Source organism: Homo sapiens, chromosome 15, assembly GCF_000001405.40.
Source record: "Homo sapiens chromosome 15, GRCh38.p14 Primary Assembly".
Taxonomy (NCBI): domain Eukaryota; kingdom Metazoa; phylum Chordata; class Mammalia; order Primates; family Hominidae; genus Homo; species Homo sapiens.
The window spans coordinates 42927559-42946042 of NC_000015.10; the positions used below are offsets into that span (position 1 = coordinate 42927559).

General features: G+C 41.4%; 1 protein-coding gene and 1 pseudogene across 1 annotated transcript in view; both read right to left on the reverse strand.

Moving 5' to 3' along the window:
* Positions 11695-12846, reverse strand: FDPSP4 (farnesyl diphosphate synthase pseudogene 4; annotated as a pseudogene).
* Positions 15339-18484, reverse strand: part of UBR1 (ubiquitin protein ligase E3 component n-recognin 1) — a 163142-nt gene continuing 159996 nt past the window's right edge. Inside the window, exon 47 of the mRNA NM_174916.3 lies at positions 15339-17912. Coding sequence (NP_777576.1) covers positions 17771-17912 — 142 coding nt within the window. The 3' untranslated portion in view covers positions 15339-17770. The remainder of the gene's footprint in view (positions 17913-18484) is intronic.

Here is an 18484-nt window from a genome sequence, read left to right on the forward strand (position 1 = left end):
TTATACTGTGTATTCCCCATACCTTCTTCACTCTGTAAATATTAAGTACACTCAGTAGGTATTTTAAAATAATTAATGCAAAAAGTTAAATACTAATAAGTACAAAAATACAAGTGATGTCACATTGTATTACCTTTCAAACAAGTGCTATCAACACCTCTGGGTTTGCCTTTTTCTGCATTTTTCTGTATTAAGATGCTTTCAAAGAAAAGAAATGGTATCACTCTGTTGCCCAGGCTGGAGTGCAATGGTGCCAGTATAGCTCTCTGTAACCTTGAACACCTGAGCTCAAGCAATTCTCCCACCTCAGCCTCTTCAGTAGCTAGAACTACAGCAGTGTACCACCTCATCTTTTTTATTATTATTATTTTGTAGGGCCAGGGCTAGCACTATATTGCGCAGTCTGGTCTTGAACCGCTGGCCTCATGGTATCTTCTCACCTTAGCCTCCCAAAGCACTAGGATTTCAGGTTTGAACCACTGCACCCAGCAAAATGCTTTTTTATTTTCCTCAACTCTTATCCAGAAACACAACAAGGGTGATTGTTAAAACAACAAAGAAAATCCTTCAGTGTGGAGACCTCAGAATAGACAGAAGAGAGAACAATCCTAGGAAATTTACCTTGGGAGTGGTAACAGCAGTATGGAACTAGAAACGGGACTTTTTGCGTTCCTGGGTCAGTCTGTCTGATAAACAGCATTCAAATAGAGTCCCTGCTTATTCTTAGCACGGCATCTCATTGTGTGCTCGCATGTTAAGCTTGCTCTAAACAAGTCAGGGTTGCAAGTCTGTGGGGGAATATCCAGATCCAGTTGGAGATGAGTTCTAGCCTTGCAGAAGGACAGTATACTTATTCCTCTTTTCTTTTTTTTTTTTAGACAGAGTTTTGCTCTTGTCGCCCAGGCTGGAGTGCAACCTCCTCGGCTCACTGCAACCTCCACTTCCTGGGTTCAAGCAATTCTCCTGCCTCAGTAGGAGGCAGTAGCTGGGATTATAGGTGCCCGCCACCAAGCTCAGCTAATTTTATTTGTATTTTTAGTAGAGATGGGGTTTCATCATGTTGGCCAGGCTAGTCTCAAAACTCCTGACCTCAGGTGATCCGCCCATCTCGGCCTCCCAAAGTGCTGGGATTACAGGTGTGAGCCACCTCGCCTGGCCTCCTGTTTTCTTAGTGAACTGAAACTTCGTTTTTTTGCTCACACAGATTTTGAAAAAATTCGTTGCTGGGAAAATAAAAACAACTGGAAAAAATAAAAATTTTAAACTTTGAATTCTAGTTGCATGTAATAGGAAGTTGAGAATGAACTCAAGTACATTTTATATATGATAAAGGTGACATCTCAGATAGTTCGGACAAAGATGGACCCTCTTAGAAATAGTGTCCAGAGAACCAGATTAGATGGTTAAAAATAATAATAAAATTGAACCACAAACAGGAATAAACTCCAAATGGATCAGAGATCTAAATATAAAAAGTGAAATCATACAAGTACTAGAAGAAAACATGGATGAATTCCTTTAAACCTGGGTGTGAGAAGAGGCTTTCTAATTATAATTCAACATCCAGATGTAATTTTTGAAAAGATTGAAAAATTTAACTACAAAACATTGAAAGAACTTTTATGGAATTAAAACTATAAAGTCAAAATCAGTGAGATAAAATATTTAAAATATATTTCACAGATAAAGAGCTAATATCTTGGATATATTAAAAATGCTTAAAAATCAAGGGAAAATAGAATTTAAAACAATAGAAAAATGGGCAAAAAATATAAGGTAGCTACTATACAGCTAAAATTATAAAGACTAACAGCATCCAATGTTTGTGAGGACGTGGAGCAACCAGAGCTCTCATACATTGTTGGTGGGAATGTAAATGGTACATTCATGTTGAAAAAAAGATCTGGACATTTCTTTCAAACTAAACATATATCTATCCTATGAATCAGCAGTTTGACTTCAAGATATGTACCCAAAAGAAATGAAAACATATTTTCACAAAAAGACTAACTCAAGAATGTTCAAAGTAGTTTTATTTATAATATCCCAAAATAGGAAACAGCTCAGGTCCGAAAGAGAACAGACTACAGACTGTACTATGTTCATAAGTGGAATATCACTCAACACTAAAAATAAACTAATACACAAAACAACATGGATGAATCTCAAAAACAATATGCTGAATGAAATAAACCTTGCCAAAGCATCATATTATATGATTCTATTTATGTGAGGAAGTCTTATGGAAAAGAGAACATACTGGATTATTCCAGTTATATAAAACTCTAGCACAAGACACACTAATCTATGATAGAAAAAAATCAGAACAATGGTTGCCTCTGAGTAGACAGGGGCTGGTATTAGCTGGTAAGAGTATAGAGAGTAATGATAATGTTCTATATCTTAATAGGGTTTTGGGTTACACAGGTGCCTGCATTTGTCAAAATTCCATGAATGTACACTTAAGATTTGTGCATTTCATTGAATGTACATTTTATATCAAAATTAAAAACTGGCCAGGCACAGTGGCTTACATGCCTTTCCCAGCACTTTGGGAGGTCAAGGCAGGAGCATTGCTTGGGCCCAAGAGTTCAAGACCAGCCTGGGCAATATAGTGAGAACCCTTCTCTACAAAAATAGAAACAAACTAGTTGGGTATAGTGGCATGCACCTGTAGTCCCAGCCACTTGGGAGGCTGAGGTGAGAGGATTGTGCCCAGATGATTGGGGCTGAAGTGAGGTGTGATCGCACCACTGCACTGCAGCCTGTGCAACAGAGTGAGACCCTGTCTCAAAAAAAAAAAAAAAAAAAGAAAAGAAAAAGAAAAAGAAAAAACCTGCAAAAAATATTGAGTTCTAGTTAATTATATGCATGCAAAATACATTGGGGGGCATATGTATTAATTATTGCAATTGACTTTGAATTTCCTCCCAAAAATAAGAGGGATTGATGAATGAATAGAGGGATGGATAGGTGGATAGATATACAATAAAGCAAGTATAGCAAATTATTATTGGTAGAATCTTGGTGGTGGTATATGGATGGTCACTATAAAGTTCTTTCAACTTTGCTGTATGTTTAAAAATATTCATAATAGACCAGTTTTGTGGCTTATGCCTGTAATCTCAGCACTTTGGGAGGCTATCATGGGAGGATCACTTGAGACCAGGAGTTCAAGACCAGCCTGGGCAACACAGTAAGACCCCATATCTACAAAAAATTTAAAAATAATAAAAAATTAGCCTTTCATAGTGTTGCATGCCTGTGGTCCTATCTACTTGGGAGGCGGAAGTGGGAGGATCACTTGAGCCCAGGAGTTCAAGGTTATAATGAGCTGTGCTTACACCACTGCACTTGAGCCTGGGCAACAGAGTAACACTCTGTCTATAAAAAAAGAAGAGAAAAGAAAATATTCATAATAAAATATTGGAAAAAAATATTTCACAACCATGTTAAGGAGCCATCTTGGAAACCAGTCCTCTGATCAACATCTACTTAGGATCCAGCAGGGCTGCAAATGCACGGAGTGTTCAGTTCTACCCAGGGCTGAGGGCAGTGCACACCACCTTTCTGTGCTGATGTAACAAATGAACACCAACCTAGTGGCTTAAACAACACAACATTTTTATCTTACAGCCTTGTTGGTCAGGAAGTCCAACATGGGTCTTACTGGGCTTAAATGAAGGAATTGGTAGGGCTGCCTTCCTTCTTAGAGGCACAAGGAGAGAATTTGATCCCTTGCCTTTTCCAGCTTCTAGAGGCTGCCCATATTCCCCAGCTGATGGCCCACTTTCTCCATCTTCAAAGTCAGCAGCAACAGTGGGCCAAGTCCTCATGGTACGTCTCTCTGACCCAGGCTTCTGCAAGCCTCTTCTCCTTTTAAGAATCCGTGTGATTAGCTGGGCGTGGTGGCTCACGCCTGTAATCCCAGCACTTTGGGAGGCCAAGGCCGGTGGATCATGAGGTCAGAAGTTTGAGACCAGCCTGACCAACATGGTGAAACTCCATCTCTAAAAATACAAAAATTAGCCAGGCCTGATGGTGCGCACCTGTAATCCCAGCTACTCAGGAGGCTGAGGCAGGAGAATTGCTTGAACCTGGGAGGCAGAGGTTGCCGTGAGCCGAGATTGCGCCACTGCCCTCCAGCCTGGGCGACAGAGCAAGACTCCATCTCAGAAAAAAAAAAAAAAAAAAAAAAATCCATGTGATTAATTTGGGCCCACTTGGATAATCCAGAAAACTCTCCATCTGAAGGTTTGCACACATAATCACATCTATAAAGTCCCTTTTGCCATGTAAGGTAAACATGTTCACAGGTTACAGGGTAGAACATGAACATCCTGTAGAGGCAAGTGGACATTGTTGTGTGCCTGCCAGAGGGAGCGTCAAAAAACAACATTCCTCCAGGAAGTAAAGCTTGAGTTCAACTCTTAAATTTTCTTGCATCTTTTAATTTGCATTCATAATATTATTCATTTATATATCCTTGCTTTTGTCATTTCTGCATTATTTATTTCTATGTTAGAACTTGGGGATTTCTTCAAGAAATGGCTGTAAATCTCCTATGGTTTGTGTTATCTTTGCTAAGAATTATAACAAAACATTTGAAAAATTCAAATCAGGCTTTGATATGGTTTGGCTCTGTGTCACCACCCAAATCTCACCTCAAACTGTAATCCCCATATCCCCACGTGTCAAGGGCGGGAGCAGGTGGGGGCAATTGGATCATGAGGATGGTTCCCACCATGCTGTTCTCGTGATAGTGAGTGAGTTCTCACGAGATCAGGTGGTTTTATAAGCATCTGGCATTTCCCCTGCTTGCACTCACTCTGTCCTCCCGCCTTGTGAAGAAGGTGCCTCCTGCTTCTCCTTTGCCTTCTGCCATGATTGTAAGTTTCCTGAGGCTTCCCCAGCAATGTGGAACTGTGAGTCAATTAAACTTCTTTCCTTTGTAAATTACCCAGTCTCAGGTATTTCTTCAGAGCAGTGTGAGAAGGGATTAATACAGGCTTATTTTGATGCTCCTTTAATTGTTGGTTTGACCTTGTGCCATTTCATACACTGGACACTAATTGTGTTGGTCTTTTGCAAATTATAAATCCCACTCTGCAGGAGCAAATTTATTAACTTTTACATGCCACCTAGCCTAGAGTCATGCACAGACAATAATTAGGAGAAAATAAAAATAAAAACTAGGCTGGGGGGCGGTGGCTCATGCCTGCAATCCCACTAGTTTGGGAGGCTGAGACAGACGGATCAATTGAGCTTAGGAGTTTGAGACCAGCTTGGGCAACATGGCAAAACCCCAGCTCTACAAAAAATACAAAAATTAACCAGGTATGGTGGTGCACGCCTGTAGTCCCAGCTACTTGGGAGGCTGAGGTGGGAGGATCTCTCGAGCCTGGAGGCAGAGGCTGCAGTGAGTCAAGATTGTGTCACTGCACTCCAGCCTGGGAGACAGATTGAGACTTGTCTCTAATAAATAAATAAATAGTAAACATAGGGATTTCCCTATCTTTCAACCATGTTAACTCACCTAAGCATTAATCCCTCATAGACCATAAAACTGAGTTTCAAAACAATAGTAGCTGCTGTTCAAAATATCTCCAGTATTTCTCTCTCTCTCATTTGATTCCAGCCCTAATTAGAATCAATGACTTTGATGGATGAAATCCACAAGGAAGTACATAGGAAGCAAGAAGCCAAGAGGGCAAGATTGGAACCTGGATAAAAGCCAACATTTAAAAGGAAGATGGAAGGACAGGATTGAGGAGAGGCCATTGGGTAGGACAGTCTGACCTGTGTGAAAAGTGTTCCTGCTGAGCTCCCAGATCCTCTTTCCTTGCCTCTTACTTCACTGTGTTTACTTTTACCCAGAGGCTCCTCCTGGAAGGATCTCAGAACATTTTGGGTTATTCTCAGCTACCCCTTGCCTATTCTTTCCTGACAGGAAAAATTCTAGTCCACTCCAACTACAAATGTCAGGAGGAGGATTTGGTAGACCATTTTCTTTTTTTTCTGATTTTATTTATTTGTTTGTTTAATAGAAAATATATTCATATAGTGCAACATTCTAAAGGTCAAAAGGTATTAAAAAGAGTATATTGTGAGGCAGGAGGACTGCTTGTGCCCAGGAGTTCGAGACCAGCCTGGGCAACATAGTGAGGCCTTGTCTCTACAAAAATTAAAATTAAAATAAAATTAACTAGACATAGTCCTAGATACTTGGGAGGCTGAGGTGGGAGGATTGCTTGAGCCTAAGAGGTCAAGGCTGCAGTGAGCTGTGATCATGTCACTGCACTCCAGCCTGGGCGACAGAGTGAGACCCTGTCTCGAAAAAAAAATATATATATATATTTATATTTATATATATAGTGAAGAGTAAGCCTCCTTTCCATCCACATCTCCCATGGATGTTCCCTGACTTTTATTACTGGTTTCTTATACATGGTATGGGAGCCAGAGATAACCTCCAACCTCTCTTTTAGCTCTTAGTGTGCTCTTCAGCTGGATCTAAAAACCACATTGACCTGTGGTTAACCAGAGAAAAGTATACAAATTTTATTAGTTTTACATGTGTATTGCCTCCAGCTCCGTCTCTGGTGATAAGGACTGTTTTCTCACCCTGGTGTAGAAAGGATCCCCTTCTCAGAAGAATCTTGATTTCTTGCTGCATGCAAAGTTCAAATGGTATTAAAACATTCAAACAAAAGGCATTAAAACATTCAAAAGGTATGAAAAGAGTATATTGTGAGGCAGGAGGGTCACTTGAGCCCAGGAGTTCAAGACCAGCCTGGGAAACATAGTGAGACGCCATCTCTACAAAAAATTTCAAAACTAGTCAGGCATGATGGTGTGCACCTGTATTCCCAACTACTTGGGAGGCTGAGGGGGGAGGATCCCTTGAGCCCAGAGTTCAAGGTTACAGTGAGCTATGATCTCACCACTGTACTCCAGCCTGGGTGACCTAGCAAAACCCTGTCTCTAAAAAAATAATAATAATAAGGCCGGGCACGGTGGCTCACGCATGTAATCCTAGCACTTTGGGAGGCTGAGGTGGGCAGATCACTTGAGGTCAGGAGTTCGAGACCAGCCTGGGCAACATAGTGAAACGCCGTCTCTACTAAAAAATACAAAACTTAGCTGGGCATGGTGGTGCGTGCCTGTAGTCCCAGCTTCTTAGGAGGCTGAGGCAGGAGAATCACTTGAACCCAGGAGGTGGAGGTTGCAGTGAGCTAAGATTGTGCCACTGCACTCCAGCCTGGGCGACAGAGTGAGATCCTGGTCTCAAAAATAAATAAATAAAATAAAAATAATAAAATGGGTAATTATTATTAACTAAAGTCCATAGTTTGTCCAAATATCCTTAGTTTTTACCTAGTGTCCTTTTTCTGTTCTGGGATCTCATCCAGGGTACCACCTCACATCTATGACTTGGCTATGACTTGGACAGCTTTGAGGAATATTGTTAAGTATGTTGTAGCTTGTCTCTCTATTGGAATGTGATGTTTTTCTTATTATTAGACTGGAGTTAAGGGTTTTAGGGAGGAAAACCACATAAAGTACCATTTCATCATATCATGTCAAGGTTACATACCATCAGCGTGATTCTATCACTACTGATATTTACCTTGCTCACCTGGTTGAGGTAATGTTTGTTAGGTTTCTTCACTGTAAAGTTTTTTTTTTTTTTTTTTTTCTCCGTTTCATATTGTATTCTTTAGAAGGAACTCACTGTAGTCCATACTTTGGCCAGGCGTGGTGGCTCTTAGGGAGGCCGAGGCGGGTGAATCGCTTGAGCTCAGGAGTTCGAGACCAGCCTGGGCAACTGGTAAAACCCTGACTGTACAAAAAAATACAAAAAATTAGCTGGGCATGGTGGCACACGCCTGCAGTTCCAGCTAATTGGGGGTCTGAGGTGGGAGGATCCCTTGAGCCCAGGAGGTTGAGGCTGCAGGACGTTGAGATAACGTCACTGTACTTCAGCCTGGGCAACAAAGTGAGACCCTGTCTTAAAAAAAAAAAAAAAAAGCTCATAACAGCTTTATTCCGAATGGCAAATTTAGAAACAACCCAGATGCCTATCAATAGGAGAGTGGGTAAATTATGTACTCACACAACTAGATACTAACTAGCAATAAGAAGAAAGACCTACTGGAACATACAACATGGATGAATCTCAAAGGTGAAAAACTTGAACACAAATAGATACTGTATGTTACCGTGGATGGGCTAAGTGAGTGCACATAGTGCACACTGAAGATTTCTGTGTTACATGTTAACAGCCACCAGAAAGCATCCATTACAGAAGAGGGACCAAAACAATCAAGTGTCAAAATAATGCTCAAACTAATGTTTTAGCACCCTTTGGAAGCTGGCACAATGGGTACACAAATGGACAGATGGGGGTTAAGCATGGGCCTAGTGGCATGGACCTCCACTCATCAAGACTGCCACCTTTGAACATCCAACCTGTCAGCCACAGAGACCAATGCTCTACGGATGTGGCACTATTTTTGTTTGTTTTTCTTTTTTTTGAGACAGAGTCTCACTCTTTCGCCCAGTCTGGAGTGCAGTGGCACGATTTCGGCTTACTGCAACCTCTGCTTCCTGGGTTCAAGTGATTTTCCTGCCTCAGCCTCCCGAGTAGCTAGGATTACAGGCACGTGCCACCATGCCTGGCTAATTTTTGTATTTTTAGTAGAGACGGGGTTTCGCCATGTTGGTCAGGCTGGTCTCAAACTCCTGACCTCAGGTGATCTGGCCACCTTGGCCTCCCAAAGTGCTGGGATTACCGGTGTGAGCCACCTCGCCCAGCCTGTGGCACTGTTTTTCAAAATCAACCAGCTACCTTGCAGCAACTTGACTACATTTTTTTTTTTTTTTTGAGACAGTCTCCTTCTGCCACCCAGGCTGGGGTGCAGTGGCACAATCATAGCTCATTGCAGCCTCAATCTCCCAGGCTCAAGCAATCCTCCTGCCTCAGCCTCCTGAATAGCTGGGACTACAGGTGTGTACCACCATACTTGGCTAATTATTTTTTTATTTTTAGTAAAGACAAGGTCTCACTATGTTGCCCAGGGTGGTCTCAAACTCCTGAGCTCAAGCAATCCTCCTGTCTTGGCCTCCCAAAGTGCTTGGATTAGACATGAGCCACTGTGCCTGGCCAGGATGTTTCTATCCTAGAAGAGTCACTGGTTCATTCTCATATGAACAGATACATATTCAGCATATGGGTTTGCCTTTCCTGCCCACAGAGCTTCAGGCAGCACCAGTGTCTGGGGGCTTGTCGAGTACCTGTTCTACAACATGGAATTCCACTCAGCATAGCATGTAACCAGGGAACCCATTTCACAGTAAGAAAGTGCTGCAGTGGGCCCCATGACTATGGGCTACCCTGGTTGTACTGCATACTGCACCACTCAGGAGCAGCTGAGCCAATACAATGTTGGAATGGCCTGCTGAAGGTACAGTGGAAGTGTCAGCTTTGAAGGTGGGTGCCATGCTCCAGGATGCATTGAATCAGAAACACTATCTAATCCATAATATTTTCATCAACCCAGTAAGAAACCCCATACCCATTAGCAGTCATCCCCTACTCCCCTGTCTTCCCAACCCCTGACAACCACTAATCTACTGTTTGTCTCTATGGATTTGTCTAATTCTGGACATTGGATATAAATGGAATCATACAATATATGGTCTTTTGTGACTGGCTTCTTTCACTGAGCATAATGTTTACAAGATTTACCCATGCTATGGCATGCATCAGAATGTCATTCCTTTTTATGGGTGCATAATATTCCATTGTATGGATAGGTATATTATTTATCCATTCATTGGTTGATGGACAATTGGGTAGTTTCCAGTTTTGGGCTATTATGAATAATGCTGCTATGCACATTTTTGTATAAGTTTTTTTTTGTGTGTGTGTGTGTGAAGATGTTTCAAATTCTCTTGAAATTTTAATTTGGGAGAAGAATTGCTAAGTCATCTGGTAACAGATCTTATCAGGAACTGCCCATCTGTTTTTTAAAGCAGCTGTACCATTTTATATCCTCACCAGTGATGTATAAGGGTTCCACTTTCTCCACATCCTTGCCAACACATTATTGCCCATCTTTTTGATTATAGCCATTCTGGTAGGTGTGAAGCAGTACATGAGTCTTCATTTAACATCATTAACCCTTGGGAACTGTGACTTTAAGCAAAATGATGTATAACAAAGCCAGTTTTACCATAGGCTAATTACTATAAACAAGAGTTAAGTTCGTATGGCACACTTCTCATCACAAAAACATCACCAAACTTCTTTTTTTTTTTTGAGACAGAGTTTCACTCTTGTTGCCGAGGCTGGAGTGCAGTGGCGTAATCTCGGCTCACTGCAACCTCAGCCTCCCGGGTTCAAGCGATTCTCCTGCCTCAGCCGCTTGAGTAGCTGGGATTAAGGCATGCGCCACCACGCCCAGCTAATTTGTATTTTTGGTAGAGATGGAGTTTCTCCATGTTGGTCAGGCCGGTCTCAAACTCCTGACCTCAGGTCATCCGCCCATCTCGGCCTCCCAAAGTGCTGGGATTACAGGCGTGAGCCACCGCGCCCGGCCCAAACTTCTAAATAAAGACGAAAACACTTCTAATATTAAACACTGAAATAAATGTGAACTATACATACATTTAAGAAAGATTGATAAAAACAAGTAAAATAATTATTTATCTGCTTATTCCAGCTCAGGGTCTCAGGTGTCCAGAGCCTATCCTGGCTGCAGCTCAGGGCACAGGGTGGGAACCACATTGTTTCACTATGTAGTCTATTTGCCTTTTTCCTCCTCTTTGGTGTTGTACTACTTTTTTTTTTTTTTTTTTTTTTTTGAGACGGAGTCTCGCTCTGTCGCCCAGGCTGGACTGCAGTGGTGCGATCTCGGCTCACTGCAAGCTCCGCCTCCTGGGTTCACGCCATTCTCCTGCCTCAGCCTCCCGAGTAGCCGGGACTACAAGCGCCAGCCACCACGCGCAGCTAATTTTTTGTATTTTTAGTAGAGACGGGGTTTCAACATATTAGCCAGGATGGTCTCGATCTCCTGACCTCGTGATCCGCAGGCCTTGGCCTCCCAAAGTGCTGGGATTACAGGCGTGAGCCACCGCGCCCGGCCTTGGTGGTGTACTTCTAGCAGTAAATTTTATACTTACATCTTTATGTAATATTCTCTTTCCTTAAATACTGTTGGTTTCTTAATACATGACCAATTTTGAAATTGCTTCTTACCCTGCTCCTTCTCTCTCACCATTTAGCCACTAGCTTTATCCTAGTGTCAATGTGTGTACTTGTTTTTGTTTTGTTTTGTTTTTGAGACGGAGTCTCGCTCTGTCGCCCAGGCTGGAGTGCAGTGGTGCGATCTCGGCTCACTGCAAGCTCCGCCTCCCGGGTTCACACCATTCTCCTGCCTCAGCCTCCCCAGTAGCTGGGACTACAGGCGCCCGCCACTACGCCTGGCTAATTTTTTGTATTTTTAGTAGAGACGGGGTTTCACCATGTTAGCCAGGATGGTCTCGATCTCCTGACCTCGTGATCCACCCGCCTCAGCCTCCCAAAGTGCTGGGATTACAGACGTGACCCACCGCGCCCGGCCACTTGTTTTTATTTCTTGATTTGTCACCTTCAAGTGATACCTTTTTATTTATTTTTAATTTTTTTTTAAGTTTACACAATAATTTATTGAGAGCCTCCTCTCCCCACCCTTGCAGTCTCTGGTCACATTTTACTTTTGTAGATTTTGCATGTCAGCCCTAGAAAGATGGCTGGGGACAGGGGAGCTGCGTACTGTTCAATGAGACCCATAATGTGGCTGTAACTGTCTTCCTATTATTGCAAGAACACGGCCGGCAGATCCAGCTCCTCATATACTGCCTTCACCTGGGCCACCTTCTTGGCCTCCTTCTGTCTGTAATTCTCCTTCAGGATCTGGTAGTGTTCCGGAGTGGCCCGTTGCAGACACTGAACCAGCAGCCAGCTGCATTTATTGTCCTGGATGTCAGTGCCAACTTTGCTGGTCACACTGGGGTCCCCAAAAGAGGTGAAGGTAATCATCCTGATCTGGAAGAACTCTCCCTCTCCCATCTCCAGCAGGATCTTCTTGGCATTGTCGTGCTCCTTCTCGCCATCAATGCCTGCCATGTACATGGCTGCAGCTACAGGAATGTAGAAGTAGAAACTGCCTTGTACTTGACAGTAGATTTGTACCTCTTTTCAGTGAATCTGCCAAGATCCGCATTGCCCTGGGGGGCTGTGATGAGGTCCAGGGTCTGCCCAATCTCAGTCTGATAGAAACTCTGCCGGAAGAGCTGGATCAGGTTCTGGCAATAGGGCTGCTCCCAGCAATAGAGCTTCAGCAGGCAGTAGATACATGCTTCCACAAGGATAGCATCACTGATGGCATCCAAACCCACGCCCGGCTTCTGAAACCAGCAGATCTGTTACCAGCGGTGAGCAATGAATCCGTGATGTCATTTGCCACCAGGAACAAAGCTTGCAGCAGTTCCACACACCAGCCCACAGTCAGGGCCCGCTGGAGACTCTCAGCATCATGTTTCCTTGGCTCCACCAGCTCCCAGAACGCTACTAGCACTGTCAAACCCCGGTGATACTTGCCTCCAATGGCATTGTACTACAGGATCTCCTTCAGCTGGGTGATAGCATCTCCTGTCTATGGGTGCCTCATCTCATCCCCAATGATCTGGGAGAAGTACTGAACGAAATCCTGCTTTTCTTGGACATAAACATCTGATCTCTGGTCTCCATTCATTCTGAGGGAGGAGCAAAGGGCTTTGTTCCTGGATGCGGGTTTCTGCCTGATACCTTTTTAATTCTGGCGAAAACCACTGATGTAATTAGTGAGCTTGTTTAACTTTCCACCCACTTGCCCTTTTTCTCCTATTTTTTGTTAGTTGTAATAATTCTACATCATTAGAGCATCCAATTTTGTCTCTCATCCCTCCATCTGTACAATTAAACATATGCAACACTCACCCCCAGACCTTATGCCAAGGCTTCTATAATCATTTACGATTGTCTGAAGCTTGCTCACTGGTAAATTTCTTAGGAAAGGCTCATGGGAAAAAATATTCCCTGAGTATTAGCATGCTCTGAACTATCTGTGTGGACTTTATGCTTGGATAGTTTGTCTGGATGTGAAAATCCTTTGGTGTTGACTCTTCTGGGTTTTTACAATGTTCTCTTTCAAAATGTGTTCAAGTTTTTTTTTTCCCCCAAGAAATTTTAACCTAATTATAGTTTTCCATTTGTGTTCTGTTCCATTGCTTTTTCTTTCTTCAGGGACTCCAATGAATATATATCAAATCTTCTTTATCCTAAATCCTTTTTTTCTCCTTCCCTGCCCCCTGCTTTTTTTTTTTTTTTTTTTTTTTTTGTCAGGGTGTCACTCTGTCACACAGGCTGGAGGGCAGTGGTGTGATGTCAGCTCACTGCAACCTTGACCTCCTTCTCAAGGGATCTTGCCACCTCCGCTTCCCAAGTAGCTGGGACTACAGGTGCGCCACAATGCCCAGGTCTTTCCAGCTTTTCCTTACTGTGCATTCCATTGGTAACTTTTCATTTTTGTCTTCCTTCTTAGTCTTCATTTCTATTTTTTCCCCAAATTTCGCTTGACTGATCTGGGTGACAGAGCGAGACTCCGACTCAAAACAAAAAACAGACAAAAACCGTTCTTTGCCTTCAGTGTTGCCCCTCACAGAATTTTTTTTTTTTTTTTTTTTTTTTTTTTTTTTTTTTTTGAGATGGAGTCTCACTCTGTTGCCAGGCTGGAGTGCAGTGGCACAATCTCAGCTCACTGCAATCTCCACCTCCCACATTCAAGTGACTCTCCCACCTCAGCCTCCTGAGTAGCTGGGACTACAGGTGCGCACCACCATGCCCAGCTAATTTTTGTATTTTTGGTACAGACAGGGTTTCACCATGTTGGCCAGGATGGTCTTGATCTCTTGACCTCGTGATCCGCCCGCCTCAGCCTCCCAAAGTGCTGGAATTATAGGCATGAGTCACCGTGCCTGGCCCCCTCATAGAATATTTTAAAGCTTAAAACTAAAGCAATTGCATCTAACCTTTTAAAAATTCCAGGTACCCTTTTCTCAAATGAAAGCTTACACAGAAACTCAAAATGAAAAATCACAACTATCCAGCTTTGGCACTCTTTCCCCTCTCGGGCCTACGTTTCTCCCAGAATCTTTGGCACTTAGTCTGAAAATCACCAAGCTAAAAAGAAAGCAAACTCTTCATTTTATGAAGAGTCATGGCTCAGAAATGGAAGAAAACCACCCTGCTTATTTTAAGGCTCAATCCCACAAGATTGATTCCAGATCGAGGGTGAGAACTGGGCATTTGTATTTTGTTAATACTCTCTAGGTGACTGTAATGCACAGTTAAGTTTGAGAACCATCACACTAGATGTATACTGCCCAATATGGTAGCCACCAGCCACACATGACTACATTTAAATTAACTAAAAATTAAAAATTCAGGCCCTCAGTTGCACTAGCCACATCACAAGTGTTCAACAGCCACATGAGAATAGTGACTGCCATTCCATATGGTAAATACACACAGAACATTTTTTTTTTCTTTGAGACAGAGTCTCACTCTCTCACCCAGGCTGGAGTACAATGGTGTGATCTCGGCTCACTGCAAGCTCCGCCTCCTGGGTTCACGCCATTCTCCTGCCTCAGCCACCTGAGTAGCTGGGACTACAGATGCCCGCCACCAAGCCTGGCTAATTTTTTGTATTTTTAGTAGACACGGGGTTTCACCGTGTTAGCCAGGATGGTCTTGATCTCCTGACCTCGTGATCCCCCCACTTTGGCCTCCCAAAGTCATGCGATTACAGGCTTGAGCCACTGCGCCCGGCCAGAACATTCCTATTATTGCAAAACTCTTCTGGATACTGCTGCTCTAGACAGCTGTCTCCATATTAGAGCGTGCATACCCAAAAGGATGCAGATTGGATTGGAAGATATTTAAATATCTATTTCTATTTTTAACTGATTTTTAAATCTCCTTTTAAAGCTATGTTTTATAATTTGCATGATGTATTAGTAAAGCACTGCATATAGAATATAAAATATGTGTTATGTGTTTATATTCTATTTGGTATGCATGCTAAAAACTATTTATTGATGGAGTATATGGCTAAAAAGTTTGGAGACCCATGTATACTAAACACCTATGTCTTTTAAAACATTTGCCTCGGCTGACAAAGGTTTCAACTGGAGAGTCTTCCTAGCAGATTTTTATACTTCAAACCCAAATCCCCAAACATGAGAAGTCCCTATTTTTCTTTTTAAATATACACATATATTTTATTTTAAAAAGCACAAGAACATTATACAAGTTTTAAATTTACATTTTTGCAATAAAAGTTATCAATATATGCATTATTTGTATAACTTCATCATGGATGGAATTTGAATCAGTGGTATAAACATGTTGCAGTCACTAAATATAGATCATCATCACAGTGAACCAAAATGCATAGTTGTTATGAAATGACAAATGACCACTAAAAGGTGAACTCACAGCCCATACACCAATATAATAAATTAATTATACAGATATATTTTTCTTCACCATATCATTAAAATTCTCACTAGCCCCTTACCAAACATTAGAAAAACACAGTTCTGGAGCCATCCTGTTGAACCAGTGCCTTCACATACTACACTAAAGAAAATAAAGTGACTCAGTTGCTTGTTTGTAAGTAAACTTCATAAGCATAATTGTTTGCAATGATTAAGGTAAATCACTAGGACATTTGAACATAATGAGAAATCCCTGGGGCTTGGGGCAGCACTGAGACATACGCTCATCTACAGTGCAAAAATCTGAATCAATCTCAATCAGTGGAACGCAATATGAAATGGGTTCTTTGGCAGTAAAGGTCTGGCTGGCCATTGCCAGACAGTCCCTCTGTCCTCTTGAGAGCCTAACTCCAGAATTTATTAAGTTAATATAAAAAGGACTAAAAATAAAGTCAGTTTATCTTTGCTAAATTGGGGCCCATCTATTAGGGTAGAAGTCAGTATCTTCTGTTTCCTATTCTAGCCCAGATTTCCCAGTCAAACAATCCACTCAATACAATTATATAAGAAACAAACACACATGTTCAAATACTTTCATCATTCTGGCAAATCTGACAAACTGAATACTGAATTTCCTGATCCTTACCTGTTATTGTTACAAATTGTTCACTAGACATGTATCTATTTATCCAGATACCTTCTGAATTGTAATTATTCAAGTAGAAAATCATGATTGTGATTCTGACGCCTGCTCATGCCAATCCCTTACTGCAAAATCCACTTTTCTTTACATAAAAGTACCAAAAAAATCTAGCCCCAAATGTGCATCACTAATCACTTAGCAAATATATTTTACTTGCTTGCCTTTGCTGAGCAAAAAGAAGGTAGGAAAACATTTACACACATATGTGAGACACTAATAGCCAAGGGCAAAATAAGATACAGTCTTTGAATGCATCTTTCAAGGTTCTAACATTACCCCAGAAACAACGTAAGTTAAAATGGAAGGTTTCCATTTATCTTCTGCTGTTTTATATCACAATCTCTTGATACAAAAAACAAAAGCCAGGAACCAAGAAGTCTATGCACAAATTCAGGAGAGCTCTATTATTTATAAACAAGATGGCTCAACCACAGCATGTTATAACAGGACACAGACTATTGATCACATGGCTTTTTTGGTGGTTTGTACTAGTCATAAAACCAGAGTTTATGAAAAGGTTGCACACAGACAACATCAAGGATTTGTCTTTTACAAAGATATAGAAGACTGCGGAATTGGTTTAAATCTGATTGTTCTAATTTACAGTTGTCATGATCCACTCATTGCGAGAATTTTCTCATCTTCATTCTACAGTTTTTACATCAGAATTACAAGAGGTTTCTGAGAGTCAAACAGGATGGTGCCACAATCTCCTTGCAGAATGAGATTTGCCTTTGGAAAATGTCAAGTATTATTTCAAAACTCAACAAAGCTACTGGTAGTCAGAGGTGAGAACTGCAAGCTCTTTGTACCGTCAGGAATGAATAACAAATACATTACCCTAACTTTTCTTGAGGCCTACAGTGAGAAAAAAGCTTTTCCATATTGGCAGAAATCATCCTCTGTCCACATAGAGATTGAGTTTAATTTGTGGTGATAGCAGCAGGTGGCACATTAGGGGTATTTCCTTAAAAGAGAAATAATAAAAAATTTATTTTTGGAATCTTTCCCAAGTATATTGCATGGTTTCTGCAATTCTTCTTTAACTGCAAGGAAGACTATCACAGATTATTAGAATTTTGTCAGTGATCCAATGTCAGTTGAACTAAACTTGGGGGGAAAACACCAAATACAAAATTGCAGAAGAGTTAACCAACATATAAAATGTCTACAACTGTTTGACGTGACTTCATCTACCAAGTGGATGAAATAAAATGAAATGAGACAAATTATGAAGGGGAATAAATTCCTGGAAATACTAGCACATAAAACAGATTGATCTATGTCCTTTTTTCCTGTGAAGCATATGTTTGCTAATTGAAAGCAATACTCCATTAAGAAATATTTTATTGATGTAAGTGAACCTGGACATGGAGCAAAAGACCCTCCAATACTTTCCCAGCCCTCAGAAAGTTTTCCATAATTTTGAATCAGCCTTTACTACTGTCGTCATTTGTGATTGTCTTGAGGCAGAGTTGGAGCTCACAGTAACTGCCAGTTGAATCCAAATAACATCTGATTAGTCTCTTGGCTCCTAGCAATCTCTTCTATAATGCAGTGTTGTTGCCAGACCAAATGGAGCTTCCGATACCGCTCACGAGATAAATGAAGGGGGTTGCCCCTCCTTTAGGGAAAAAAGAAAAAACAACATGTAAGTTTGAATCTAGTAACTGCCACATCTTTATTGTCTAAATTAGTATGCACTCTTGAGATGTTCCTGGAGCCGGGAGGACTCACCAGCACAGGGCTTAAAAAGGGATATTTTCCCTTCACCATTGATCACTAAGAACTTGACAGGCTACTTAGCTAATAAAGCAGAAATGTACTCCTTGACCATTCATAAAATAGGTCAGGTATATTATGGCATTATGGGACCTCACTTAAATGGTCACTGAGGTTTATAACTTGAAGCAGCACTATTCTTTTTTGGTGGTTAGCTTGAATAGCTTTTTGGCTTCATATTGTTATCTAGCTTCAATTTATGATCTTTGCACAGTAGAGGTTAGGCCTGACGTATAACACTAGGCCCTAAAATTATATTTTGCTACTCAGAGATATTTGGTTGTAACTGTCCTTACGATACAAAAAACTGGCTGGTTATTAGCAAATAATTTAATAAAATAATTATACTTCAATTCTAGAGTTGCACAGTTTTTAACACTGTATAACAGCTAATCCAAAATGACTTAAGTCTGG